This window comes from Homo sapiens, chromosome 2, assembly GCF_000001405.40.
Source record: "Homo sapiens chromosome 2, GRCh38.p14 Primary Assembly".
In the NCBI taxonomy this organism is placed as follows: Eukaryota; Metazoa; Chordata; class Mammalia; order Primates; family Hominidae; genus Homo; species Homo sapiens.
Window position 1 is genome coordinate 162,166,793 of NC_000002.12, and position 27,551 is coordinate 162,194,343.

The following is a 27,551-nucleotide window of genomic DNA, read 5'->3' on the forward strand; positions in this document are numbered from 1 at the left end:
TTCATTACGACACTTATTTCAAAAATTCACCTTCTGTAGCAGTGACAAAAGTTCCTGGCCCTAAAAATGAGTGACTAACAAAGATGTTCCTATCTTTGCTTGTCAACAAACAGTAAATATGAAAGAGGGAAGATGAGTTGTCAAGCCATTGTGGCATGACCTTACCTTGATTGTACCTCTCTCTTGTTCACACAATACTGATTCTCTATAACCACAGAGCAAAAGATGGAATGCTATACCAACGAGTATCTGTTAAAATATATACGTCAATACAATGTTTTAAGTAAGTAAAAATGGAGTATTAATTAGAAACCAATGGAATAAAATCAGACTGTTTTAGCTTGCCAAAGATGTTACCTGTGTGTCAAAAGAAGTGTTTATGACCAGCATGTTAGTATTGCATGCCAGTAATCTGAGCAGGTGGTCATTAGAGGCTTATGCTAGAAGCCAGATCGTTTTCCCCATGAATAGCTTGGTAAGGTCTAAGCACTTATTTCTTCCTGAATTAAAAATTATTCCACTTAGAATTGCCAAAGTACCTGTCCATAATGCCAAGGAAGTGTTTTAGCAGTTCCCCTTCACAGACTGAGAATGATTTACTGTGTTCAGAATTTTTCAATCTGTCTTATTGGATAAACTCAAAATATCTGCTTTATTGGATAAATTCAAAATCTCTGTTAGGTGCCTCCTTTCTTCTTTACAAACAGCATAATTGAAAGCATTGTTTTGGTAGAATCTTCTCAGAAGACCACATTATCACCATTTAAATTAGCCCCAATTCATTTTACATTTGCTTATTTTACTGTTAACTTTCCCAGAACTATTTTTTTTTTTACAATTAGAACATCTGAATTTTAATTACATTACCATCAAGAAGCTCATTAAAGTCACTTAATTGGCAACATTTCCAAAAAAACCTTAGCTGGGTTTAATATATTTTAAAGAGTTACTGTCAAAGTATAATTTCACCATTACAAACAGCTTGGCAACAACATTTGCATAAAGATCTGTCAGTTTCTGAAAAATGCTCAAATGTTGGGAAAATCAGATTCGTTAAGTCGCCTTTACTGATACAGTCTAGAAATGGAGAAATTGTCATATATATTCATCGTTGTAACCCCTCCAGTACCCAGAATACTACTGTGCACAGCATAGGTATTCAATAAATGTTTTCTTAAGGAAATAAATAATGCATTTTATAAATAAGGGTAGGTTTTAAAAAAAAATTTTTAAACTCCAATAAAAGTTCTCTCATTTGTGTTAAATTTAACCAAATACTCATTTGCTTGCTGCTTTTTTTCTTATTTACTCTAAGAAATATTTGATGGTCATCTAGAATTTTGAAACCTTTAAAAATAGCTCTCAGGCCAGCCGTGTGGGACTAAAATTTGAAATAATGTTTAGAAATTAATTGTTTTATGGCTTCCCTCTTACACTAGACTTTTTTTGAGGGGAGGTCTTACCTACAGTACCTAAAATAGTGGCTTGCAATTGCAGTCACTGAATGAGTGAATGAATGAATGAAAATCTTGTTTGTCATGTGTGAAGGATAATTATACTTTGCAGCTTTAATTAGGCTATTGGGATACCCCCTTTTCCATGTCTCATATCCAATAATAAAATGTGGTAAATGATAATTATTATTATACTCCAGCTTCCTAAAGATAGAAAAGGCAAGATATTTTTAAATCTTTCTTTTAGCTTGGCATTTTCTACTTAAAATCTCTCCCTTTTGTACTTCATGTACCTTTTATCTTTCTAGACAAAATAAGAATCTAATAAAGCTTTATGAAAGGTGAACACTTAAAAAACTGCCATGCAAGTTGCTGCCTTGCTCTTACTACATCCTCAAAGTCTTGCACAGTGTTTGATATACAATCAGACTCAGTAAATGTTTGTTGAATGAATGAATGAATAAATAACTGAAAACATATTTACAGTTTTGAGGAAGACCTGGGAAATTCTACCTGAGGGGGTCAGGGAAGGCTTCATCAACAGTAATGTAGAAAACCTGAATCTTCCATGAACACAAAGGTATTCATTAATTCAACAATTGGTGAATTTCTGTGATATGCCACATTCCAAGACAAGGGTGGTGAAGATTTCTCTAGGGTAGCATTAGGAAGATTTTCTCTAAGGTAGCACTAGTGTGTTCAGCAGCACTTTCTGTGATGATGAAAATGTTCTACATCGACATTGTCCAATATGGTGCTGACTAACCATGTGGCTACTGAGCAGAGAAATGTGGCAAGTAGGACTGAAGAGCTGAATTGTAATTTTATCTAATTTTAATCTAAGGGTCTATAGAAGCTGGTGTCAGGAAAAGGGTTTGGAAAATATGCATGGGGACGGATCGTCAAGGGCTCTCTCTGTCATGCTGATTTTGAATATTATTTTTTAGGCAACGGAGAATCATCGAAGGGTTCTAAGTGGGAAAATGACACTATTAGTTTTGTCTCAGCAGTTCCCTCTGTGGCAGTGGGAGCAAAGGCCTGAGGCTGGAGACAACTTACTGCAGATCAATATTAGAATCCAGTTTTGCAAATGTCACAAAGGCAGAAAATAAGTTGGAGAAATAAGATTTTTGTTCTTTCTATTTGTAATGACCCTGTGGTATCCCTAGATAAAGTATTAGAAAATGACTGGTTATTTTTCTCTCCCTAGGTGGAGAGAGTGAATGATGAGAAAACTATGAGAAAATCTCTTGGGCTTGCTTCAGAGGCTGCTGTGTGCAGAACAGAGAGAGAAGGTGGTAGCTTACTCTGGTCCTCAGGGCAACAGCCATTGCATGGAGGAAGAAAAGAGGGGCTGTGGCCAGTCCTGAATCTGGGAAGGTGTTGTCCAGAATTCCTGACCACCACAGAACATCCCTTCCTGATGTGTGAGGTGGAGCTATGTGGCCTGAGTTAGGGGCAATGGTTTCAGAAAGCTGAAGTGGAAACAATGCTGGATTGGAAAAAGTCAGAAAACTCTAGAGAAGACTGCATTTGTGCTCTCTGTGGTCTTCCTGCTGTAATGTTCCAGGCCAGGATTGGTTCTTCTGGGTATAAGTCATGAGGGGATTCAACCTGCACCTGGAAAGAAGGTATCAAGCTAGGGATGGGGAGAAATTACCCAGGGCAATCCAGTGCTGGGGATTACACAATGAAAAGTCCCTTAGACAGCAGTGTGGTGGATACTTCCACCAACATTCATTCAGTAAATATCTTCTGGTGACCTGGTATGGATCTTTTAATTCTGAGGCAATCACAGAGATGGCAGGTCACCAGTAGTTTCTAACTGAAGGTGGTAGTAACTGGCAATGCATTGCTTTAGGACTGTAGGCATTACAGCTATTTTTTTCAATATGAACTTTATAATGTAGAACTAAGACCCCAGAAAAACCTCATAGATATAAAATTTTCCTCTCTAGCTATTGATGTCATTTTATTTACTTATTTATTTTTGTTTGGTTTGATTTGGTTATGGGTTAGCAATCTGAAAGCAGTTACCATTACTAATTCTAAAAATGGATTCAAAATAGGAACACTTCCAAATTAGAAGCATTTTTTTAAAAGGAGTCTGAATTCAAAAGTCTGACTTTATCTTTATCAAATGCTTTTGGCAATGTTGAAGAAATCTTCTGGGAGAAATGTAATAAACATTTCTTGGAGGGACAGCATAGAGTGCAAACATCTCAAACGTGATTCACTTGCATTTTCTGAACAATGCTTTTGCCTACTCTGAGCTGTTGGTTCCAGTATTTGGAGTTCTCATGACAGAAATCCAAAACCACTTCTAGATTCTTCTCCTCCATGACCACCCTAATGTTATTCATGCACTTGCTTTGCACAAACACCTCTTTCTGTGATAAAACCTGGAACCTGAAATCAATGAATACAGACAACACAATAGCACTTGAACTTCTGACTTTATTATTTTTCTTCAAATGAACAGGTGATAAAACACTGTGTCCAAAGCAAAATGCATGACTCCCTTTTCTCTTCTTTCACAGAGTACCAGAAAATGTAAACAATATTTAGCTTGAACTTCTGAGTCCTCATCTTTTTTTTAACAGCCTTTAGAACAACATTAATTTGTTTGTTTATACTAGCATTTTACAACATAAAAAATAAAATAAGCAAACTGTCTGAGGGGTTTATATAAGGTTTTCAGATTCTGATACAGGCTTGCATCTGCATCGTTTTTAGTCTGACAAAGAGAAACACTGCTTTAGGAAGTGGGTCATGTGGGTGTATAAGTGGTTCGTGGACAGGCCGGATAAGCCGTGGTTCTGGTCAGAGTACCACTGAAACACAAAGAAAAAAGCTTGTTTTATTCCTGCAGTCATCAAATGCATTTAGCTTGGACTTTTTTGTGCTCTCAGGACCTGATAATCTTTCTATTATGGGGAAACTGTACCTAAGAACACTCAAATAAGTAAAATAGCTTACATGTAAATATTTACAGCAGGAAGAGCTTTCGTTAACCTCCACTACTGTTTCACATGCTTTAAACATATTTTAGATCTCAGTGGCTGAGATCTCGCATCATCCAGCATCCTGGAAGATCAGGATCAGGCATCAGAGTTGCCAGAAGTGATGCACTGGGTCTGTTAATTTTGCTTCTTTGGAGTCTGGTTTCTTCATTTGAAAAACAAAGGGGTTGGAGTTGATTTTCCCTAAGATTCCTTGTAGCTCAAAAATTCCATGAGGCTTTCAGCCTGTGAATCTAATTCCTCTCTGTTGCAGAAAATCCACAATATAATGTATTCATATATAGCCATAAACACCCTTTATAGGAGTTAAAAATAGCATTTTTAAAAAGTGAAAGATAGTATTTTAACTTTAAACTTCACTCTTGGAGAGATACCACTAAGATTATTGCTTTCACTGAATAAAGGTATCAGTGGTCACGATGTAATAATATATATTTACTAAGTTGAATTTACTTTGGGGATCACAATAAAAAAGGTCAGAAAAAGCTCACCTCCCTCTTTGTATATTTTTAAAAATTTGATATATAATAGTTGTGTATCTTTTTGGGGGTACAGTGATATTTTGATAGCTGAATACAATGTGTAATGATCAAATCAAGATAACTGAAATACCCATCACCTCAAACAAATTTCCTTTTATGTTGGGAAAATTATAATTATTCTCTTCCAGCTATTTTGAATTATACAATCAATTATCATTGACCATAATTTCCCTACTGTACTTTCAAATACTAGAACTTATTTTTTTCTGTCTTTTGTACCCCTTAACCAACTTCTTCTTATACCCCCTCCCCCATTTCTTTCCCAGTCAGTACATTTTTTAAAAACAAATGTTGAAAAGATGGGGGTCTCCTTTTCGGGGTTCTTGTTCAACTTAAGCAATTGAGGGAGCATTTGTGAGAGGAAAAGGTAGCTACCAAGAATGCTGCCCCGCCCCCAACTTTGGCTTTCACTTTATTTTCTTTTCTGGTTCAATTTCTCATTCCTCAAGCAACCTGGATTTTACATTTAGCTAATTCATTCATTCACTCAGTAAGAAGCTGAGCATCTGTGATAAGCCAGGTGTATGCCAGGGGATGAGAATACATAGGTGAAAAGTTCTCTAACCACAAATGGAGCCATATGATTTCAGGGAGCCTTGGAGGTTTGTGATGACATTCTGCAACTGCTTCTTACTGAACAAACAGAATCTTCTAGCTGTTTAAGGATGCTCAGGTTTTGCAGGGACTCTAAGCATATAATTGCACTTATTCACATAGGATTTCAGAACTACTGGATGTTTGAACTAGAAGATCATTTAATCTTGTGAACTCCTTTATTTTACATGACTCAACTGGGAACACGAGAGGTGATCTGGTTTGCCTCGGGTCCTTCAGTAGTTAAAGAAAGATCCAAGATTCATTTGCTAATGTTCTGCCTACTCTATCCTGCAGCCTCTTTGTCAGATTTTACTTTAAAAGTTAAAAAAAATAAAAATATGAACCCCTCCTTTTAGCTTGAGGGTCTAAGGCCATGAACATGAGTAAAACAAAATTATGTACCATTGCCTGGAAATCCACTTGTGCATTAACCAGAGCTTTAGCAATCTGTGCTGAGTTTTGAAAGTGCACATTATCTGCAACAAAGAGAGAGAGAGTTAAAGTGCTGCTAAATACCAGAAAGCATAGAGTGACAATGTACTGCCTGGAAATGAACACCAACAATTATCTAGTCATGCATTTGACATTGTCAGCAGTGAGTAATCACACTCAGATATGGAAATGTCCCTGACTCTTAGGTACTGACCCTGAGCATAGGCATAGGAGGATGCTTAATGTTTCTTAAACAAAGTGATGCTGGCTCAGTATTTTTATGTGTAAGAGTCTTGCTTAAACCTCACCATCTGCTGTTCCGTGGATGAGAAGATAGTCTACATTTCTGAAATATTCTGCTCTTGCCATCACAGTTGAATTCTGGAAAAGAGAAAAAAATTAACATTTTAGTTGCTGCAAGTTCTAATAGAAAACTAGCTAAATCATTGTGCAATGGACTTAGCACCAATACTGAAATTATGTATTGCTTTGCTTGATAAATATTTAAGAGTCAGAGCAACACATTTTCATCATCATTTGCATTACTTCCATCTGATTCTTAGTTTGAAAAACTGAAAGTTTATGTGTCATATGTTACATATGAGTGAGACCTTAGGCATAAATGATGCCCGCTCAAGCTGTGTAGGGGTTGGGGGTGGGGAGGAAGATTGGGAAAAGAGAGGTTAGGGAAGGGAGGATGGGAAAAGAAAGAACAGAATCCAAAAGGAGTAAAACCCTTTCTAGTGATGTGTTTTGCAATTAACAAAAGATGATATTTGCTTGGGGGCCCAGAATTAAAACTGTAAATTCTGAACTACTGCTTTTAAGTTATTTAGCATATTAGAAATTAATTATTAACCTAAATAAAATGGAAACACTTACCTTATAGTGCTCAAGATTATCATCCTTTGTTGGGAGACCCATGAATCTCTCTGTGTAGACAGACGCTATAAAATATATGAGAATATGCATTGTTTGCATGTGATGAATGTCATTTCATTAACCAACAAGACCTTCTAGTTTAATAACTGTTTCTCAATTTTCCCATCTTGAGCTCTTGAGGTAAATTCTTGCTTTACTTTGCTATAATGGTTGGCCTCAAAGAATATGTGTCATCTCTGCAATTAGCCTCAATAGAGCTAGAGAAGTATGAAGGAAGAGATTATGGAAACAGGAGCATCTAAACATTTTCTTTCTATGACTATTCTTAATATTTTTCACTTCTACCCTCCTAGGGAAGAATGTTGAAGTAGGAATGACCTGTAGAATGGTCTCAATATATTTTAAAGAAAATCACAAATCCAGCCATCTTTAGGACTTTTACTGGTGTCTTATTTCATCTGGGATGAAAATATGTCCCTCAAATCTATTCCCCCTACACACGTACATAGATGCACACACTTTTTTTCTTAATCAAGATCCCCTACAAGTCACAATTGTTTTATTTCTGCCCCAATATAGAGGAGAGAATCTGATGAAGCTAATTTTTGTAAAATTATTAGAGTTATTTTGTATAATTATTAGAATTCCTTCCAAATAATCATCCTGCATTGATGTAATGATAAAAATAGGCACAAACAGGAGTATTTCTCCAACAAAGTTTTTGTTTCTTTGATTTCTGGAGCAATGGAACTGGCAATTGCTAACTGTGGCGTGGAGGTGAACTGCTTGGCCTCTGGCCTGACCGTGCTGAAGATGTGCTTAAAAGCCAATTATGCTGTAGCTGTGTGCCTGCAAAAACAGAGTTAGCTCTGATTTTAAAGATTTGGTTCGGCAGGGGCTCAAGGTTTCTGGGAGAAAATAAGATATAGTGGATTATGGATGAGCCTTTCCTCACTCTTGAGATTTCATTGATTGTTACAACATGTTTATAATAAATGATATAAACAACTTTGTTTATAAATTATATTTTCCCCAGTGATGCTGGGGTGAATTTTACTGCATAATCCATTTTTCTAGCAACATCAGATATAGAGTAATTACGTGTTAAATGCTTTCACAGTAACATTAATGAATGTTTCCATACCGTAATATTCCCAGCTGGAGACTGGAGCCACTGCTATACCACATTTGAAAAGACCAGTTCCAGATGCAAGGGCCAGTGATGAAACGTATCCTCCATAGGACTGTAGAGACATTGTTATGAGTCAGACTCAGATTTACTTTCATAAGCTTTCCTCCATATGTTTATAGCAACTCTACTCACAATCCGGACTGAAGGGAGCTGGAGAATATGGCTAAGGGTGGATTACATGTCTATCTTGCATCCTCGGCAGCAAGCTTCAGATAAATGACCAGACATAATGGTAATTTCTTCCCTAATTCATTAGAAATACTTGGTGTGCTGATCAGAACAGACCCTCTTAAAACATGGTAGGAGCAGTTTAAGAGATAGACAGAATTTCAATTTTCTTTTGCAAAAAAAAAATTCTCATTTTTTTCTCTATATCTTTCCAACTAGGACCATGCTGGAACAAAAACAAGATTTTACTTGAAAGAGATGCACAGAAAAAAAATTACCAAAATTTAAATGTAAGATACATCCTCGCAGTTTGCAAAAGTTCTGTGAGGCAGAACATGTATCTTTGTATTTACTTATTTATTTTCACAACAGAATACCAAAGGAAGGCCATAAGAACTTTTTGGATAATTTAAGACATGGCCATAGTTTGTGTATGTTGTAGTGGTACATGTTCTAAGGATTTCTGACATAGCAGCTCAAAGGAGGAAAAGTCATTGGTGTCTTTAAAAACCTTATATTTCTTCCTGCAAATTTAAGGAAAAGGAAATAAATACAAAACAGGATGCAATTTGCAGAGTCAGGAGTAAGTTTAGCTCTCATAGATTTTCTTCTCCAAGGAATCAAGAGGTGATTCAGAAATGGGATCCTGTTAAGAGAAAGAGATCTCTGCCCATGTCACATGGAAATTTGAACCTTTTCTTAAATATGAAGAAATGAACAGGGCATCCAAATAAGGTTGCACTGCCTCGTGAGAAGCAAGTTTGGTCTGTACAAACATGCTGTGAGAGAGGTGCTTCTCCTGGGAACGTGGACTAAGCAGTTGTCTGGGACATGGACCAAAAAAAAATGTGTGCACTAGATTAGGAAGTGACTCTCTGTGTTTATTCTTGCCCTGATGCAAGAACGTCCCTAAAAATCATAAGGGGACAGTGTGACTCTCCAGCTAAAGCCATACCATGTTTTTAGGACCTTATGACCACAGATTTCTGGGAATCACTTCCCTCAGATCAGGATAGATCATATCATCTTTACCAGAGAAAGTCATTCTTTAGACAGGGAGAATGAGTGACAGTGTGAGAAAGAGAGAGAGAGAGAGGTAGACAGACATGGTGCTGGTAATAGGTCAGTGGCAGAGGTCTATTTTTAATTCATGAAATGCATGGAATGGGAGAATCAGCTAAATAATCTTGCTGAATCTAACAGTTAAATGAAGAATTCTCAAACTAATTTACAGTTCTTTGTTTTTAGCTCTGGGGTATTTTATTGAAGACCTTTAGCTACAAAACACAGAATAAAAGAGGGGGCTCAGATTGTACCATGGCCTCTTTTTATTATACTTGGAGGAGAACTGAACCATGTTTTAATAGGGAAAAAGTATATTTTAAAAACAGAAGATACATTTGGGTTTGAAAATCCTTATTGCAAGTGAAAATTCTCTGTCTGGTTTAAACTTTCACTTATAATTTAAAAAAATGACTTATTTTGATTAGCAGGTTTGCAGCAACTCCTGCTGAAATGGGAAGGCTTTCCTTCCTTCTGAATTTCAAGTTCAAATGAGAGCAGAGTAAGCCAGAGACCTTTAGAAAAAAATTATTATCATTTATGGTTTTATTGGCAAAGTGTGTTTACTGCAAGTAAAAATACTGGGTCCTGCTTCTCCTTTCCTATGCCCCAGAGAAGGAAATAAAGTGAGACTTGACATTAAAATAAAAGCCTTTGTATATCATGAAAAGGTTTTTGAATATTTCTGCTAAAAATCTTAGGAATTATTAATCTGTATCTATTCAGTCATTGGGTGATAGTGTTGTATTTAAATAAAGCTTTCCTGTTTTCAGAATGAATATAAATTTTCTCTGGGAATTTGTAAGAGCAAAAGCGACTGTATCAGCAGCACAACAAAAGAAGGTGTACTTTAAATTCTCGGGCAGCTTGGAAAAGCTATTCCTATTGTAGAAATGAAGAGGGGGAAAAAAGAAAACCCGAGTTGACTTTTTCCTGCCCCCCCTCCATGAGTGGGGCTCCCAGGCAGAGTGGGTGGCTGTTGCAAGAAAAGAACCCACAGAGCAGATTGGCCATGAGAATTCTGGAATTTTGTCCTTTGCACTTAGACGCCTTGCCATTTTGTTTAAATGAGGGATATCTTTAAAAACATTCTTAGAAGGGCACAGGATTTTGAAGGAGGGTTTACGAAACACTCTTATTTGAGGCATAATGCACACTGGAACATTTTACCTATAGGCAATAATAATAACTAGCTAACATTTATGTGGTCAGGGTTATTGCAATGGCCTTTATGGTCTCACACAATCTGTCTCCATTCTCCCACCTCACTTCTCCCCTTCCTTTCTCTTCCCCTTGCTCACTGGCTCTCTTGACGTTCTTTGAACTCTCCAAGCATGATCTGGCCTCAGGACGTTTGCAAATGCTGTGACCTTCTGCCTGGAATGCTCTTTCCACAGACACTGGCATGCCTCACTTCCTCTCCTCTTCAAAGTCAAATGTCATCTCAAATGAGCCTTCTTTGCCATTCTGATTTAAAATTGTACCAACTTGCACCATTCCTCTTTCTTGTTTTGTCTTTTTCCATAGCGCTTAACGTCATTTAACACTCTCTATATTTTACTTATTTATCTTGTTTATTGTCTTTCTCTCCAACCATTCCCAACTCCATAAGGGTAGATATTTTTGTCTGTCCTGTCAATGAATGTAGCCCAGCACTGAAAATATGGCCTGACACACAATAGGAATAGAATAAATATTTGTTGAGTATATGACTTTGCTATTACTTTGTGCAATCCTCACGGTGTCTTGGTGAGGAAATTATTGCTGCATTTCACAATGAGGAAACTGAGGCTCAGAGTAAACTTATAGTGGCTATGGAGTCAGTAAGCAGCAGAGCTGGGACTCAAACTCAGGACACTTGTCTCAGCAACCCATGCCCCTTCCTCTGTATCCCTATACTTAGGGCAACCTCTTTCGGGGAAACTGTAAGTTCAGAGTCTAATATAGTCTCATTAGAGGTGCATTTGTCCTACTTTTACATCGTTGATCACACATAGCAATTCAAATTACTTATAATTAGTCACTGGGAGAGAAAGGAACTAAGATTAAATCATGAACTAATGCTTATTCAACACCACCTGGCTAGGCCTATATTAACAAAGCGAAGCCCAGAAATGAGGCTGTTATTCTAATAATTTAAGCAAAACCCTCGCTGCTCTTCAATTGTCAGAATAATTGTGTTGAGTTTTCATTGCATATCAGGGTTTTGCAACTCTGACACTATTGACAGTTTGGGATGGATAATTCTTTGTTATAGGGGGCTGTCCTATGTATCACAGGATGTTTAACAGCATCCCTGGCCTCTACCCACTAGATGCCAGTAGCACTCCCCCAGCGTGACAATTAAAAATGCCTCCAGACGTTGTCAAATGTCCCAAGGAGCAAAATCGCCCGGTTAACAACCACTGCCATAAACTGATACTTCTTAGGCACTGTGGTGGGCACATAGTGAATATTTATCAAGGGACTAAAACCAGGGCTAGTGGGCTTTGTTTTATGTGAGCCAGAAAATGAAAGGGGAAGATAAAAGGGTTTATTCCCCATTTCTTGAACTCGATAATGGAGAGTAATGTGGGATTTGGAGCTTATTGACCAATTGACTCCAAAAAATTTTGTTGGGTGCGATGTATTTCCCAAACTCCTATACTGTCTAATACTTCATGGAAACACATATATTCTTCCCTAATACAAAACGCAATAAGAGCTAAGTAAACCTCATGGTAATTTTCAATGTCTTTCTCTTTTCCATCTCCAATTTCCCACAGGTCCCTGCTTATTATATTGTATAAGAGCACACACAGATATGACCTCTTCCAACTGCTACTTCACTGACTAATTCAGGCCTTTGATATCTGTCCCTGGTATTACTACTCTCCTAGCCCCTTGGCCCATCCTCTCCCCAAATCTCAGATTATCCTCCACTTTGCAGCCAAGATTATCTTTCTAAGACACCAATACCTTGCCCTATTGACTTCAAGAGCACTTTAAAAATTGATGTCCATAGAAAACATTGTCAATATGTGTTCTGGGATGGTGGAGGAATAAGGAATTGTGGAATCAAATACTTTTTGGTAATACTGTGTTAAACAAAACTTGACAGGTTTTTTTTTTTTTTTTTTTGCTAGTCTTTCTAGAGCCTATATACACTATTACATAGAATTTGTGATTTGCCAAATTATTAGACTATAGGACATTTTCCTGAAAAATCTCCTGGTACTAGTGGGACACATTTGAGGGGAGACATTGATTTATAGGATTAAAGTCAGTTTAAACAACATCATAGATGCTTGCTGTGGCCAAGCATTGTGCTAAACAAACACAATTCTAGCTTTGGGCTCAGAAACAAAGCTAAAATGAGACACAGTCCATTCCTTTGATGAACTTACATTCTTATGAGAGAAACTAACAGACAGACAAGACACAACATGGTAATTCCTATAAGAGAAATGCAAAGAGCTACTGGAGCACAAAGAAAATAATATGTAAGTTGAATCTTAAAGAGCAAGTGTGAGTTATCCATTTGGGAGTGAGGAAAAGGTGGGGAATGGAAGAAGAGAATGGACATTGCAGATGCGAGAAATAGCATGTACAAAACATGGGAACAAGGAAGCACAGATCTATCTATCTATCTATCTATCTATCTATCTATATATATATATATATATATATTTTTTTTTTTTTTGAGATGGAGTCTCGCTCTGTTGCCCAGGCTGGAGTACAATGGTGCAATCTCAGCTTACTGCAACCTCTACCTCCCGGGTTCAAGCAATTCTCCTGCCTCAGCTTCCTGAGTAGCTGGGATTACAGGCACATGCCACCATGCCTGGCTAAGTTTTGTATTTTTAGTAGAGACGGGGTTTCGTCATGTTGGTCAGGCTGGTCTCGAACTCCTGACCTCGTGATCTGCCTGCCTCGGTCTCACAAAGTACTGGGATTACAGGCATGAGGCACCACTCCTGGCCATAATTTAAATTACTTAAGGTACAGGGAGAAGTGGCAAGAGATGAGATTGGAAAACTAAGCTGGAGTCAGACTGCCAAAGGCCTTGCATGCCAGGAAAGGTATCTGGGCTTTGTGTTGCAGGCAATGCAGAGTCCTATAAAATACATAAGCAGAAAAGCCACACAGTAAAAATTGTTTTGGAACGATAACTTCATTAACCACATTGGAGCTTGTGAAGCCAAAGCAGGAGGACAGGTAAGAAGCAATTAGAATAAATTGAAGTGCGAAACCTGTGGTCCATGGACCCAAACATCAGCATTACCTGGGGTCTTGTTGGAAATGCACTCTCAGGCCCCACCCCAGAAGCACAGACTCAGAATCTCTGGTGTCTTAACAAGCTCTCCAGGTGATGTTTGTGCAAGCTAAAGTTTGAGAATTTCTGGCTTAAATTACAAATGGAGAAACTCAAACTAAGGCAGTGTCAGTAGGGATGATGAGAACAGACTTTGATGTTTAAAGGTAGAATTGACAGAACTTACTAATCAATGGAATGTTGAAGTCAGGAACAGGAACAGGGGGAGGTTGAAAACAGCTCTCAGATTTCGAATTTGGGTGAATAAGTGTGTGGAGAAGCCTTAATGAAGATTAAGACTTGTTTTAAAATAGGCTTTAACAAGTTTACCTTAGGCGTAAGTTAAGTTTGAGGTCCATGTGAGACATGTGGGAGAGATGATCAGCAGGCATTTGAAACATGGAGCACAGAAGAGAGGTGTGTGCTGGTGCCAGGGATCTGGAAGTCATCATCATCTTTGACACCACAAGGGTTTGCCGAAGGAAAGGAAGACTAATGAGGGTCAAGGCGAGATCCAGACCCAGAAAAACACCAATACTTAAATAATAAATGGAGGCCGGATGCGGTAGCTCATGCCTGTAATCCCAGCATTTTGGGAGGCTGAGGTAAGTGAATTGCTTGAGCCTAGGGGTTTGAGACCAGCCTGGGCAACATGACAAAATCTTGTCTCAAAAACGAAAAAAGGAATATTAGCCAGGCGTGGTGGGATGTGCCTGTAATCCCAGCTACTCAGGAGGCTGAGGCGGGAGAATCGCTTGAACCTGGGAGGCAGAGGTTGCAGTGAGCCGAGATCGTACCACTGCACTCCAGCCTGGGCAACAGAGAGCAATTCTGTCTCAAAAAAGAAAAAAAATAAAAAAGGTGTAACAATCATAGAGGCACAGAAGAATGAAGAGAAAGGTGTCACAGGCATGCACAAATCCCTCTCCTTTAGGTGGCCTAAAGACTATTATCTGTATACTTGCTTATTCAGACTCATTTTCTATACTTTCCTCAAGATACTTTAGACTTTTGAAGTTTCAGGCATCCCTGGCCAGCTCAGTCTCCCTGTGTGCACCATGCTCTTTAACTCAGGTCCTGGGCAATGTGGTTTTCACTCTGCCTGGAATGCTCCGTTCCTCAGCTATCTTCACCAATCTCAAATGCTAACTTATTTTGGAATCCTCCCTTAGCTCCCACAGCCATAATTATCCACTCTTGTCCCCCTGTACTCCACAGCGAGTTGCATCTCTCTTAACACTTGGAAGATTGCTGAGCCATTGCTTATTTTGTTGTCTGTTTCCCCCACAAGAGGGCCAGGACTACGACTTACTCATCTTTTCATCCCCTAAGGAACCTAGTACAAGACCTTGTAGAAAATGTACTATGTAGATGAAAGAATGAACAAGTCAGTGATTAGACAGATGGATTAATAAGCATCTTAAACCTGAAGAGCTGATTTTAAAACCCAGTATAGTATTAATGTCTTTATCCACATACTAGTTCCTTCTGCTCAGATGTTATATCACGTGGCAGCCCATTTCTTACTTTCTTTGCTCAAATTTGCTCTGAGTCGACCTCACAGTCATTACCATGTTGGAAAGTAAGCAATTGACGGGTGGGGGTTCTAATGTACTATTTCAGTGGCATTTGCCCAACTAGATGTGGTGAGAATCTATTATTGAAGAATTTCAGGCTGATAGGGATGTATTTTTGGGTGATGAGTGGGTTTTTAGAAAATCATCCCACGTAGATGGTTTTCTACCAAACTAATACCTAGAATGTTCTATAAATAAAATAAAAAGTTCTACTTTATGGTTATTTCAAAGCCTGCAGCAAAAGCAAAGTCCAACTCTAAGAGAAATGTTAATGATTACATGTACATGTTCAACTTAAAATTAGAATCTTTCAAGGATTTGCTTTAGGAAACTTTATAAAAATGGATGATAGGGAAGGTATTATCTGGAATATTTCACTATAGAAATATTTCATTTATTTCTACTCATTTGAATTTCATTCTGTTTAGATATTTAACATTTGATAGTTTTAAGAAGGACCAAATGGCTTGAAGTAACAACTTTCTTCAAATTCCTAACAGCTCTTCATCTGGTCACTGAGCTGAGTGGAGCTGAATCTTGCAGATTCCCTTCAATATTGGGTTTCATTCCCTTCTTCTCGTGCAGGCCGCTCTCAGAGAAAACAGCCAAGAAAAACAACCCAGGCACAAATGGCTGCAAATTGACTTGCAAATGTACAAATTCAGACCAAAAAGTGAAACAGGAAATCTTCTTTGAAGGGTAATTATCATAATTTATAATGGGCAAATCTCAACTCTTTCCAATATTTCTCTAAACTTTCCAGTGACTTCATTGCCCATAAACGATAAGTTTTGCCACTTTCTTTAAATGTGTATTTTCAAAATAGCTCCTCAAGTGTGAGAAGTTATCTCCATGACCTATAATTAGGAAACTAAATAGTACTTTTCTCCAGTTAGCACAAACGAACATTCGGTCTACTAAAATAATTTGATTGCCAAATAAAAAGAAACAAAATTAAACAGCTAAGATATGACTGCTAGGCTAGGTACTAAGGAATTTATATTCTGAAAGTCCCTGTGATTTCAAATTGTAGCTCCAATTTTTATAAAATAGAAATATAAAATAAAAGGTATATATTTAACTTTAAAATAACAAAGGCAATTCACCCTCTGACGGATATGGTTCAGTTCAGTATGCTATAATCTAGTAACAAAGACTTAAGTAAAAATATGTCAATTATGAGTTAACTTACTGTACAGGGAAGAAAAGATTGAAAAAAAGGAACAAACACTTAAAACCACCATTTTGAAGCCCAGATTATCCAAACTGACTGTTTCCATTGACAGATTAAATTATGTTGCAACATTAACATTTCATGAGAAACCTTCTAAACGAACACTTCAGAAAATGATGATTGCTGAACTGAATAACAGGCATAAAAAATATAAAACAACTCACCCAGCCCCATATGGCTATTCTTTTTTCATCAATGAAACCCATTTCTATGAATTTTCTAAAGTAAAAGAAACAAATTTTTAGAATGTTAAGTGTATACACATGACATTTACTTCATTACACAACCATATTTAATCCAAAGATTTAATAGAAACGCTACATTTTCTTTGTTTAAACACATGCATAATAAGCCTGCATTTACAAATAATTAAAATAATATTATCATGTTTTCTGCAAAGAGATAAAAGGATTCCCTTAGACTCTGTTGTACAGTTATTGACTGGTAATGTCAGAGCGGTATAAGGCCTTGTAGTCTAATCGTGGGGGTGTACCTGAGACTCAGAGAGGCCAAAAGATGGGTTCATAGTGACACAAGAAGTAGCAGCAGCATTGAGCAGGACCAAGTTTCCAAATCCCCAGCTATCGGAAAGAAGGATTTTGTTCTTGCTGCTTTAAATTATATTAATTTCTTATCACATTGTTGTTAATGATAATCATCACTTCATTTTCAGAGACATTTGAGAGAAATATACAACCGTCTTCCATTTCATACTTAGGCATCCTCAATTCATCATTAATTAATATGGAAATAATTCCTTTTTAGCTCCATCACAGAAGAGCATCCATTTGAAAACTATTTTGAAAATAAATCTTTCCTTAGGAGCAAGGGGCTACACTGAAGGACAACGTTTAAAAAGTCATGGGAAACCCTCAAAATTGAGGGTTTCAAGCTAATTTCTAACATGTTACCCTGAGGGCTGGTGTTCTAGAGCAATTGTGATTTATCTGGGGATTGGTTTGATAAAAACTCAAGAAAATCTCAGAGAAACAGCAGCCGGAGTGGAATGTGGCAAACTGGATCAGCCATTGCAGAAACCACCGTATGCAACAGTGACAGGAAGGAGGGGAGAAGACCAAAGGAGACACACAGTCCCAGAAAAATACTATCTTCTTGTTCCATTCAATTACTGTTAAAGACCTTTCTCATCAGTTCTTCTCTGGAAGTAGAACTGAGTGATTTTCATTACTTGAATAATGTAGTTTCTTAAAGGGATTTCACAGCAACCATTTCGCTCTTGCATTGATTCAACATGCACGTTTCCGATGCATAGAGAAGTTGGGCAAATGCCCGGGACAAACAGATGGGAAGAGGCCCCGTTAGTCACAGCTTACCCGACACTGATTCTGAAGGACACTGAGGAGTCTACAGAGAAGAAATGCAGTAGCAAATGGAAAGTTGCTACCTGTGTGGATGCTGCTCATGGTATAGAGGAGAAAATGTGCAGCAAATTGTGACACTTGAGCAATTCTTGCACAAACTTCAAAAATCAAATGAAAGAAGAGAAGGTTCACTTTCTTGTTAAAAAAAAAATAACCTTGCTACTGGTGCTTGAAGACAGTTCTGAGCCATAAAATCAATTGTGATTTTATGATCTCCCAGAAGCCAACAATCATACTACCTTACATCTGGGGTAAAGAGCAAATAACAGGTGATACATGGGAACAGGAAACTCTTAACAGCTCTCTTCCTAGGTTTATTCTGAAAGGATGACATTTACAGGAAATGATAGTGCAATAGTTAACATGGAAATGAAACATTAACACTGAATGTTGCAGGACTAGGTTAAAGGTTAGCTAGATAATCTTAGCACTTCCAGACCAACGAGGCACTATAAAATTCACCTTCAAATTCTGAAGAGTTTCCCAGAGGGTTGTAAATACTGTTGATAATGTGGTTATATCAACAAAATGTCAGTAACAAATGAAAAGGATGTTTTTCTAATCTTGGAGTCTGGATTGAACTTTATAACTTTTCTCTCATAAAGTTGGCCCAAGGCCAAGGTAAACTTGGAATCATAGCGATCAATTATTATCCTATTTTAGAAATATTCTTATTCATGCCATCTATAAAAGCATGATAGAAAATTTCATCTCATGTAATTCTTCCCCACCACTAACCCTCAAGTTATATCAAATTTTAAAGTTGTGGGAATATCAAAAGTGCCAAATATACTCCAAATGAGCAAAGTTGCCCTTATAACCACCAAAGTTTTAAGGGTCTCACATATGTACCATTTGAAGAGACACCTAAAGAAAGCGGGTTCCAGTCTCCCTTATGTCTGTAGCTTCACAAACATCTCTTCTGACGCATTTTCTTTCACATAGATAGAAGTTATAAGACGATATGACTTCTTTTTTTCCCCTACTTTGCTTTGTTTAAATCTATTTGTTGGCCTTGAGTAGTATTTACTGTTGTTTCCAAATATGTACGTACGATTTTCTTTTGGTATGTCAAAAGCTTAGCCAGATTGCATTTTGTAAAAGATTCAGGGGAGAAATTTTATTCTCTGAGAGGCAATTTAAGGGCTACAGTAGAAGTATTATAATCTCAATTCCCCAGGTCAGGCATTTAGTGTCTGATTCCTAAAACACTTCCTTAGGAGGTATATTGAATCATCCCTAGGATTATTATTCTGAGTCTATCCTATTTAGCTTTTGTTTTCTCAAAGCATTGGATTATAAGGCTTCCTTTTCACAGTTGCATAAGAACAATTTCAAGCAAAAACCAAGGCCAGCTCTGGCTGTCATCTCCACTGTTGTTTATAGACTTTGCATGGGGCCACGCAGCTGCCCATATTCTCTGGGGTGTTTACTAAAAGTTTGATCTAACAACAATTTTGTCCCTTCAGAGTGTAGGTGGCTTATTTACTTTTACCAGATTGCAAGCACACTGAAAACAGAAATTGCAAATTGCACAATTTTATACAGAGTGTACTGCAATGGCATGTATTAATATTAATATTTGCTATGTTGTTGAATGGCTGAGTATATGGGTGAACATATGTTTTCCCTATAGCAGGAAGACTTTCTTCAGATTCCATCCTAAAAATGGCTCAGAGAAAGTAGAGGTATCCAATTACCACCTCTAGTCCATCTTCAATTCTAAATGCCAAAGACAAATTGGTATTACTGCGAAAATCAGTAGAAGGTAGAATTTATGGCTTTGTGTCCTGTATGTTGAATATCATGGCTCAGGTTTAAATTTTCATTTCATCCAAGGAAAATATTAAGAAGCTATTTCTTCTTAGGTTCAAATGGTGCATCTGTGGTGGTAAATAAACCCATAAAAGTATAATGACATATTTTGTTGTTACTGGTGGGTTGCGATGATGACGATGATGAAGACAATGATTTTTTAACCAATGCCAAAATAAACAACTTTTTAGCTCTTTCAGCTTTGGAAAAGATCTAAATAAATTATAAATGAGGCATAATTTTCATCTCTGTTTTCATGTAGTCCCAGGATTACATGTCCTTGATGTTTATTGCATGGTTTAAATGCAAATAGATGTGAGCCATGGTGCTAAAAAAAGTCCCCCATGGAATTAAGCTATAATTCTGAGGATGGCGTTAATATTCTCATTAAGGCACACTACAGTCTTTATAGGAGAAACTGATGTCTCAGTGGGGTTTTTCTTTGAACTATCTCCTCCAAACAAGTGAATAGTTGAAAGGCCAAAAGTCTGAGTCCATAAGAAAGAGGGAGCTTCCAGAAATTGAGTGATAGCTACAGATTTTAGTGTTAGTAACCTACTTACTAATTTGTCGTATTGTACTCAGATAGACTTTTTTTTTAATTGAACATTTTGTTTGTTCCCAGAATGAAAGAAGCACTTGAAAATGTATGGGTTATGGACACCTTTCTATTTTTAAAAATAATTACTTGTGAGTCTAAACTCTTCTGCTTTGATTAGAGACAAAAATATAGAAAAGTGTTGTCTAGGCCTGGCTCCAGGCTGTTAAATACAATCTTTATTCTGCATGTTGCAGTGAAATCATTAAGTATTAATAACATTAAGGGGATAAAAAATGTACTAAAGAAATTTCTAAATTTCTCTTTGCCTGTGAAACAGTGTTTGACCTTTAGCTCCTCACATGCACATATATTCACGACTGAGAGTGCAATTAGCCTGCTACCTTTTAAATTTACGAACTATTATTCTTAGCTTCACCTATTCATAACATAATAATGAAACCCAACAACTATAGAGACATGGCAAGAATTATTTGCACAGTGTTTCTAAAAAAGCCACAATTTTGGTGCCTATATAGTCCTGTTTCAGGAAAAGATGATTGAACCATAAATCATGGTTGAAAATATATATAGTTGAGAAGAAGAAATCAGATTATGAATCTGTGTTTTCCCTAAATGTTTTCATAATATAATTTCTGTTGTGTAAAATGACTATGTTTTTGTCAAACGAAAATAGGCAAACACTTTCATGCTACCATGGCCGACTGATAGCTAGTTTAACCACAAATGAAGGCCTAACATCTAAAAGTATGTAGTGCTGATAAAATCTTGAGCCATTTCTAAACTTAAGAGGCAGAATCCACAATGCTTGAGCAAATTCAGATATTTGTTTTCCTGAAGATCATCATTAGAGTTCAAAGTTTTTCTATCAATTGTAAGAAATGGAACTAAATTAAAAGATATTGGAATGAATGACAACACATCAAAAGAGGGTATTTGTCATTTAGCACTTGAAATCATTTTTCTACACATTCGTTAGCTCTCTTCCATAAATACTTTTTTTTCATATTTGGCAGAAATACCTCTTTAAGATTAGTGATAGTTTTAGACCAAGTTAGAAAAAGAAAAACAAAAGAATTAAGTCATGAAGAATGGAGAAACACAATAGTGATTGCATGACTTTTGTTGCATGTTGACATCTGCTTGAATGAGAAGGTGCTCACCTGACAGCTGTAATCTGGTCTTCAACTTCATAAACACCCAGCTTTCGATACACTGCATAGAGGAGTTTGTCACCTTGGAAAGCTGTTCCTCGACCATCCACCAAGGCAATGACCATCCCTTCCTTACTTGCAAGATAAGATATCCAATTAACAGCAAATACAGACCTTACACTCTGACTGCAGGGACCACCATACCTAAAGGAAAAACAAAAAAAACAAGAATCTTTGATTGCTTTGTAAAACTCAATTTCCCATCCTGGCCAAGCATTGCTTCTAGTAATTCCAGTACAATTATGTGATAAAATAACAATGGCGTTAGAACTGGCTCAAAATCAAGAGGAGTCCAGGCTTTTCCCAGAGGTTTGCTACAAGGAAGTTGTTTTGGGACACAGCCTCTCCTATTCCCCAAAACGGATACATCTAGGGTTGGCATTTCAAGGAATATGTGTGGGTTTTTCGTCATTTCTGCCACCTGCCACTTGCTAAAAGCAGACATAAGATATACTAAAAAAAATGCATGGTGTTTTAAGCAAATTGTGTGTAGGTCAGCACTGATTTTGGGTGTGATTCCACTAAATGTATTCTATTCCTTTATTTCATTTCTAACTCAATTACATAAGATGTGAAGATGATTTACAATATTTTTTTTGGCTGCAATTTCTCTATCTCAAAGGTATTCTGACACATTCGGCAAATTGCCATACAAAGGAAATTTAACACAGCAAATGCAAGCAAGTCCAGCTAAAATCTCAAAACTTCCTCAATCTATTTTAAATAGCCATATTTTATTTACTCTGATTAGTTGAAGAATATATAAAAACAGCATCAATAGGCACTGTTACCAAGGAGAATGGTTCATTCTATTTCATAAATGTGTATTTCATCTAACATATTTTCAGTAAATAGTTTTTACACCAAAGAAAATATTACATACACTTGAATTAGCAAGGGATACTTCTTTGATCTGTCAAATTGAGGAGGAAGAATCATCTTGTACCATAAAGCTTTGAGGAAAAAAAAAGGAGAAAAATCTTCATTCCACAGCACTAGTAGCATCATTTATTGTCTTTAATAACAATATATGCAATAAAATCAATTTTCAACTACTAAATTGTTAAGAATTTAGGATATATTTAAAAGTAACTTTTATTAAATTTTTGTGTTAAATGTATAAATGACTAGAAACCTTGAATTACTATTTGTTCTAGAAGGATACATTTTAAAATTAAAATTAGATAAGCTCTTTTTAAAAAAACGTCAGTGTGGAAAGGAAGCTATTGAAAAGGTATAAGATCAACCATGTTCACAAACATATTAAAGATATTTAGTAAAACTAAGAATTGTTACAGTAAGATTATTTTAAATGAAATCCTGTAATATTAATAGATCGCAGAATTTGCACTGTAACATTCACTCTATGCTTTTTTAAAAGCAAGAAAATTGCTCAGCTTCATATCTATAAATGAGAAGTTTTTAAAAGATCTTACTAATTTCATCTACTTCAAGTTTCTTAATTTCCTCTTTAGGCAGCTGGATATTTTTCAAAGCATTTTCCAATTCCTTGTTTTCTTCCAGGATTTTAATTTCTGAAAAATGTTAAATGTTCATTTTTAATCAATAGTATTTCCATAAACAATTTTTTTCCTTAAAATTCCTTTGACTTCAATATGGGTGAAACTGAAACTGTGAAAAGCTCGCTTAAGAAGTGAAGTTTCATATTGACAAATGTATTTATAATCCAGCCTTTAGAGCAGATATAAGCTTATGAAGGACATCACATTTTAATCACTGTGTCTTTAACTAATTCTAATAGCATCAGAACACATTTTGAGCAAAAATCACAGGAGCAACAATGTTTATTCAATCACGTTTTCCCATCTAAAGCTGTTTTGTTTTTAAGTTTAAAGCCATGACCTAAGCAGGTGATATTTCTTTTATCATATACTTAAAAAAATGTAGTGGAAATACAATCTGGATTGCTGGGGCCTCAAATTTAAAATAATTAATTGTGTATTTCCAAAATTTGCTTTTTAATTTTTAATGTGTAAAGTTGAATATTATTTCTGTGATTTTTAAAATCTTTCTTTCTTACGCTTTCCTGTTGTACTTGATTAATAAAGGATATTCTCCTGTTTTTGGTAATTGAATTAGTTGTATGCTATTCTTTCAGATCCTTTCTCTCAAGGTAGTGATATATCTGAGTAAGACAACAATATATATTGTGTATACACACACACACACACACAAACACACACTATGCTCTTTCTCTGTCTTAAATCTTTAAAAAATCTAAAACCTGCTATTTATACTTGAGCTCAGTTATATTTCACACCTTAATATTTGAAAAGGAACAAATCCATTGATCTCTTGAATCTGTAGATTGGTAATACATGCAAATAGGTTTCTAGCAATAGCGGGCTTTTTATAGACCTTATTTTGAACCTGGGATTGATATCAGCATCTTCTAGAGAAAAGTTAGCCTTTCAAATAATATGTGGAGTTTTAGCTTTATATTTTAAAAGAGGGGCTGGATGACTTGTGAGGTATATCTATTGCTACAAAAGATGTCCATGGACTTCTTGTTTTTATGCCTTTTTGAAAGAGTGGTCTCTGAAGAGAGAGAGCTGGAGGAGTGCTTGTAACTATACTAAGTTTGCCAAACCACTTCTCTTGTAACTCTCAGTTTTCATATACTCATGGCATTTTGCTCCAACATGTTATATTTAATCTTAGCACAAGTATAGATGTTTTGGGTATGATTTGTATAAGATACATAATGAATTTCACATTAACTTTGGGTAATCCATCAGGGAAGAGATACTTGTGACACCTTAAAAGTTAAAACCAAAAAAGTAAAATGAATACACAATTCTAAGTACAGTAGAGCCAACCCTTCATTCTTGCGTGGATTCTGTTTGTGGAGCTGCCATCGATAAAGAGACTCCTGTGTGGATCAAGCACACAGACTGGCTGATTGATTGACTGATTACTATTTGTATTATTTTACCACAAGCACTGGAAGTGGGAGACAGTATCCGGGTGTTGTCACGTGGTTATGGCTTTGACTCCTTCTTCATTCTATTCTTAGCTATCGAACTTTTCTGATACATGACTTAATGAAATGCAAAATTTAATCTAAATGCTTTTATGGTTCAGAGTTGCATTTTTTATGGATAGTGACTGGGCAATTTTTCCACCTCTTGGAGCACAAACAGAATCTCACAGGGGGCAGTGGCAAGAGTGAGAGGTGGCAGCTGGGCTTCTCAATAAGGCTGTGCATTAAAAACCCATAACCTAGCAAAGGGAGTACAGGTCAGACCACACATTTTACTTTCTTTCTCCCATCACCGTATACTCAGTACCAAGCACACACAGCACCTAGTATCTGGCATGTAGTATCTGCTTCCACATGTATTTGTAGGCTCTTCATTGTGATGAAATTGAGTTGTAACAATGATGGATCTTATACTTGATTTCTGTTTGAATCGTTTTAAAATCCCATATTGCTGATTAAATTATGGGGAGAATCCATAGAAAGGCTGATTAATAAGGGCATGTCATGAATTGATTAATTTTAATGAGCATTTTCTGTGCCCAAAGCAACTAAGCTTTAACTGGGCCCTCCCTGACAATTCCAGCTCTTCTGGATTCCCACGGAATCTGGTTCAAGTACTACCTGCTGTTTTCAAATAAACTTCCCCCTCTTTGCAGGGAAAATGAAGCCACTTCACTGTGTTCCAACTTTCATGCAATTCTACCAACAATTTCTTTATTCTGTCTCATCACATCACAAGAGATTAATCCATTTACCTGTCTCTGATCTTCATCCTCTCTCAACTTCTTAGGGACCTCCCTCCTCTATGTTTTCCTTCCATTTTTTCTGCTGATTTCCTCTATCACATCCACTCATACTCAAATGTTTATCCTCTTTCAAAAACAAAATTAAACCTACATCAATCTTTTACAGCCATCGTCCCACCAATCCCCTCTTCTCATCACACTCAGACCAACTGGAAATACTGTCTTTTTAAACTTACTTATGCAGACCTAATTTTGCTTTAATCTGGCTTCCACCTCCACTGCTCCACTGAAATGGCTCTGACCAAGCTAATGTCAATCTCCCTCTTGCTAAGTCCATTAATTTAGAGCAAGCCTTCCCTCACTCTCTGCAGCATCTGGTACAGCTGATTATTTCCTCCTCCTTGAGCTCTTCTCCTCCCCTGCTTTCCACAATACCATACTCTCAAGTTTATCCCCCTCCTTCTGTTCCTTCTTGGTCTCCTCTCCAGGCTCATTTTTCTCCTTCCATTTCTCAAGTGTTGATGTTCCACACAGTTTCGTTGTAGGCTCACTCCCCACTAACCCTATCCACTCTTGTTTTGTCCACTCGGCTCATATCATCCACTTCCAAGGCCTGAGTTACCACATGCTCCATAAATTAATGACTTTCATCGTTATCTTCAGTCCAAACTGATCTTCTGGCATCCAGATCCAAAATGATGTCACTACAGAGCAGCTCCACTTAGGTATCTCATCAGTGCCTCAAGCTCAACATTTAAAACAAAATTCATCATCCTCCCAAAACCTGATCTCCACAATGACTCCTCTATTTCAGTAAAAAACCATTAGTATCAAGCCAATCATCCAAATAGCATTATCACCTACTTCATATTCATGAGTCTCGGGTTTGTGGTAGTTATCATTAGTAAACATTTCCTAACCCCCCAAACCCAGATGAGCTGCTCTTCCTGTGTGCTTCCAGGCTTTCTGCAGTTCCCCTATCTTAGAACTTACCCCACTGTATTGTAACTGCCCATTTCCATGTTCATATTCCCCACTCATCTATAACCTCCTTGAGGACAAGGACATCGTCTAACCCAGTATCTCTTTATTTTATAGATAGATCCAGGACCTAGCACAGTGCCTGGCTTAATGTGGTAGAAGTTCCATAAATATTTGTTGAATGAGATTGCTGACACCAAATGCAATGTAAATAAGAGACACAGCATCTGCTCCAAAACAGCAGCTGAACATTTACTATTAAAAATACAAATTTCCAAGCATAACTTAAGACGTACCACATTAAAATCTTTGGGGAAGTCCTGGGAATCCGTATTTATAATGAACATAGGAGAATAATTTCACATTAGGTAAGTTGTGGAACTGTGCTCTGAAAGAATTTGATTTTTTCTGTTGGTACTTATTTAATTACATCTGACATATCTGAGGGCGTACCTATTTTGTAAATAGTGAGTGAAGTAATAGAGCTTCAAAATCAGTACACAGATCTGCCAGGAATCTAACAAGGATCTCAAGAAAGTAGAAATTCATGCTATGGAAAAAGAAAGGCTGGCTATTATTTTGCAGTCTTGAAAAGATGAGAATTATATGCTAATAGTGATTTCTATTAAAACAAAACCTTGTCGACTTGAAATCAATCTCACTGACTGAGATGGTCAAATTAAGAAATATAATCTGTTATTCTTAAAAGTATTTCCTTATTAGACACAAGGTTTCAAAAAAAACCTTAAAATGAAACTAAATTCACAGTCCCATTATCACAATGCCTGTCCTGTCCAGAGTTCCCAAATTGATTCTGTTTTTGTTTTTTTTTCTTGTTATTTTCACCTACACTTGAGCCATTGAGCTGACAGCCAAAGTAATCCCAAGGCAGTCTCCTGACTTGTCACCAAAGCTGTCCAGGGACAATCGCAGGCATGAGTGCTGAAGAAAGTGGCATCTGCCTCATTGTCCCTGGCCTCCAACAACTCCAACCCTATAATGTTGTTTAATAGTAAATCAAAAGATAATGGAGAGCCAGCAGGAAGAGTATCAGAGCAATTAGATACTTGGACAACTCTGCTGCGAGCAAAACTGGTCGTCTTTGAGATGTGAACTATTTTGAACCAATATCACAAATACAGGATAGAGGAGGACTGTCTTGATAGCAGTTGAAAATGGAAAGAGCCTCCAAATTTCAGGGCGTTCATACGTGGCAACAATGTGATGTAGCTGTTAAAACAAAAAAAGCTGGTGTGACAGTCACCCTCTGCTCTGAACTGAAGAAGTTACATGTAGAATTTGTTTCCAGTTTGGGATGTTACCACACACACACACACACACACACACACATGCAAACAACCCCCTACCCCCAATCCCTGAGGAAAAAAAAAAA

The 27,551-nt window shown here is 36.9% G+C and overlaps 1 protein-coding gene and 1 long non-coding RNA gene across 5 annotated transcripts in view, besides 1 other annotated feature; one reads left to right on the forward strand and one right to left on the reverse strand.

Annotated features, from left to right (window-relative positions):
- Positions 1 to 5,947, forward strand: part of LOC101929532 (uncharacterized) — a 58,299-nt gene extending 52,352 nt beyond the window's left edge. Inside the window, exon 4 of the long non-coding RNA NR_110255.1 lies at positions 2,665 to 5,947. This is a non-coding gene — a long non-coding RNA (uncharacterized LOC101929532). The remainder of the gene's footprint in view (positions 1 to 2,664) is intronic.
- FAP (fibroblast activation protein alpha) overlaps positions 3,892 to 27,551 on the reverse strand; it is a 72,762-nt gene continuing 49,102 nt past the window's right edge. For 3 of the 4 annotated variants that reach the window (NM_001291807.3, NM_004460.5, XM_011510796.4), the window contains 9 exons: positions 22,864 to 22,962; positions 22,311 to 22,380; positions 21,377 to 21,571; positions 16,622 to 16,676; positions 8,075 to 8,174; positions 6,931 to 6,995; positions 6,357 to 6,429; positions 6,019 to 6,092; positions 3,892 to 4,288 (listed from right to left, as the gene is read on the reverse strand). In NM_001291807.3, the coding sequence (NP_001278736.1) occupies positions 4,187 to 4,288; positions 6,019 to 6,092; positions 6,357 to 6,429; positions 6,931 to 6,995; positions 8,075 to 8,174; positions 16,622 to 16,676; positions 21,377 to 21,571; positions 22,311 to 22,380; positions 22,864 to 22,962 (833 nt within the window). In that variant the 3' untranslated portion in view covers positions 3,892 to 4,186. Of the gene's footprint in view, positions 4,289 to 6,018; positions 6,093 to 6,356; positions 6,430 to 6,930; positions 6,996 to 8,074; positions 8,175 to 16,621; positions 16,677 to 21,376; positions 21,572 to 22,310; positions 22,381 to 22,863; positions 22,963 to 26,386; positions 27,389 to 27,551 lie in introns of those variants that run through there. The other variant, XM_011510797.4, reaches the window with a different exon arrangement.
- Positions 18,000 to 18,169: an enhancer, noted in NCBI's record as "experimental_54994 CRE fragment used in MPRA reporter constructs". NCBI's record gives its function as "activates a minimal promoter by MPRAs in K562 erythroleukemia cells, with activity observed for the non-introgressed 2:163041387 variant allele {active_cell/tissue: K562}" and the evidence as "EXISTENCE:reporter gene assay evidence [ECO:0000049][PMID:34662402]".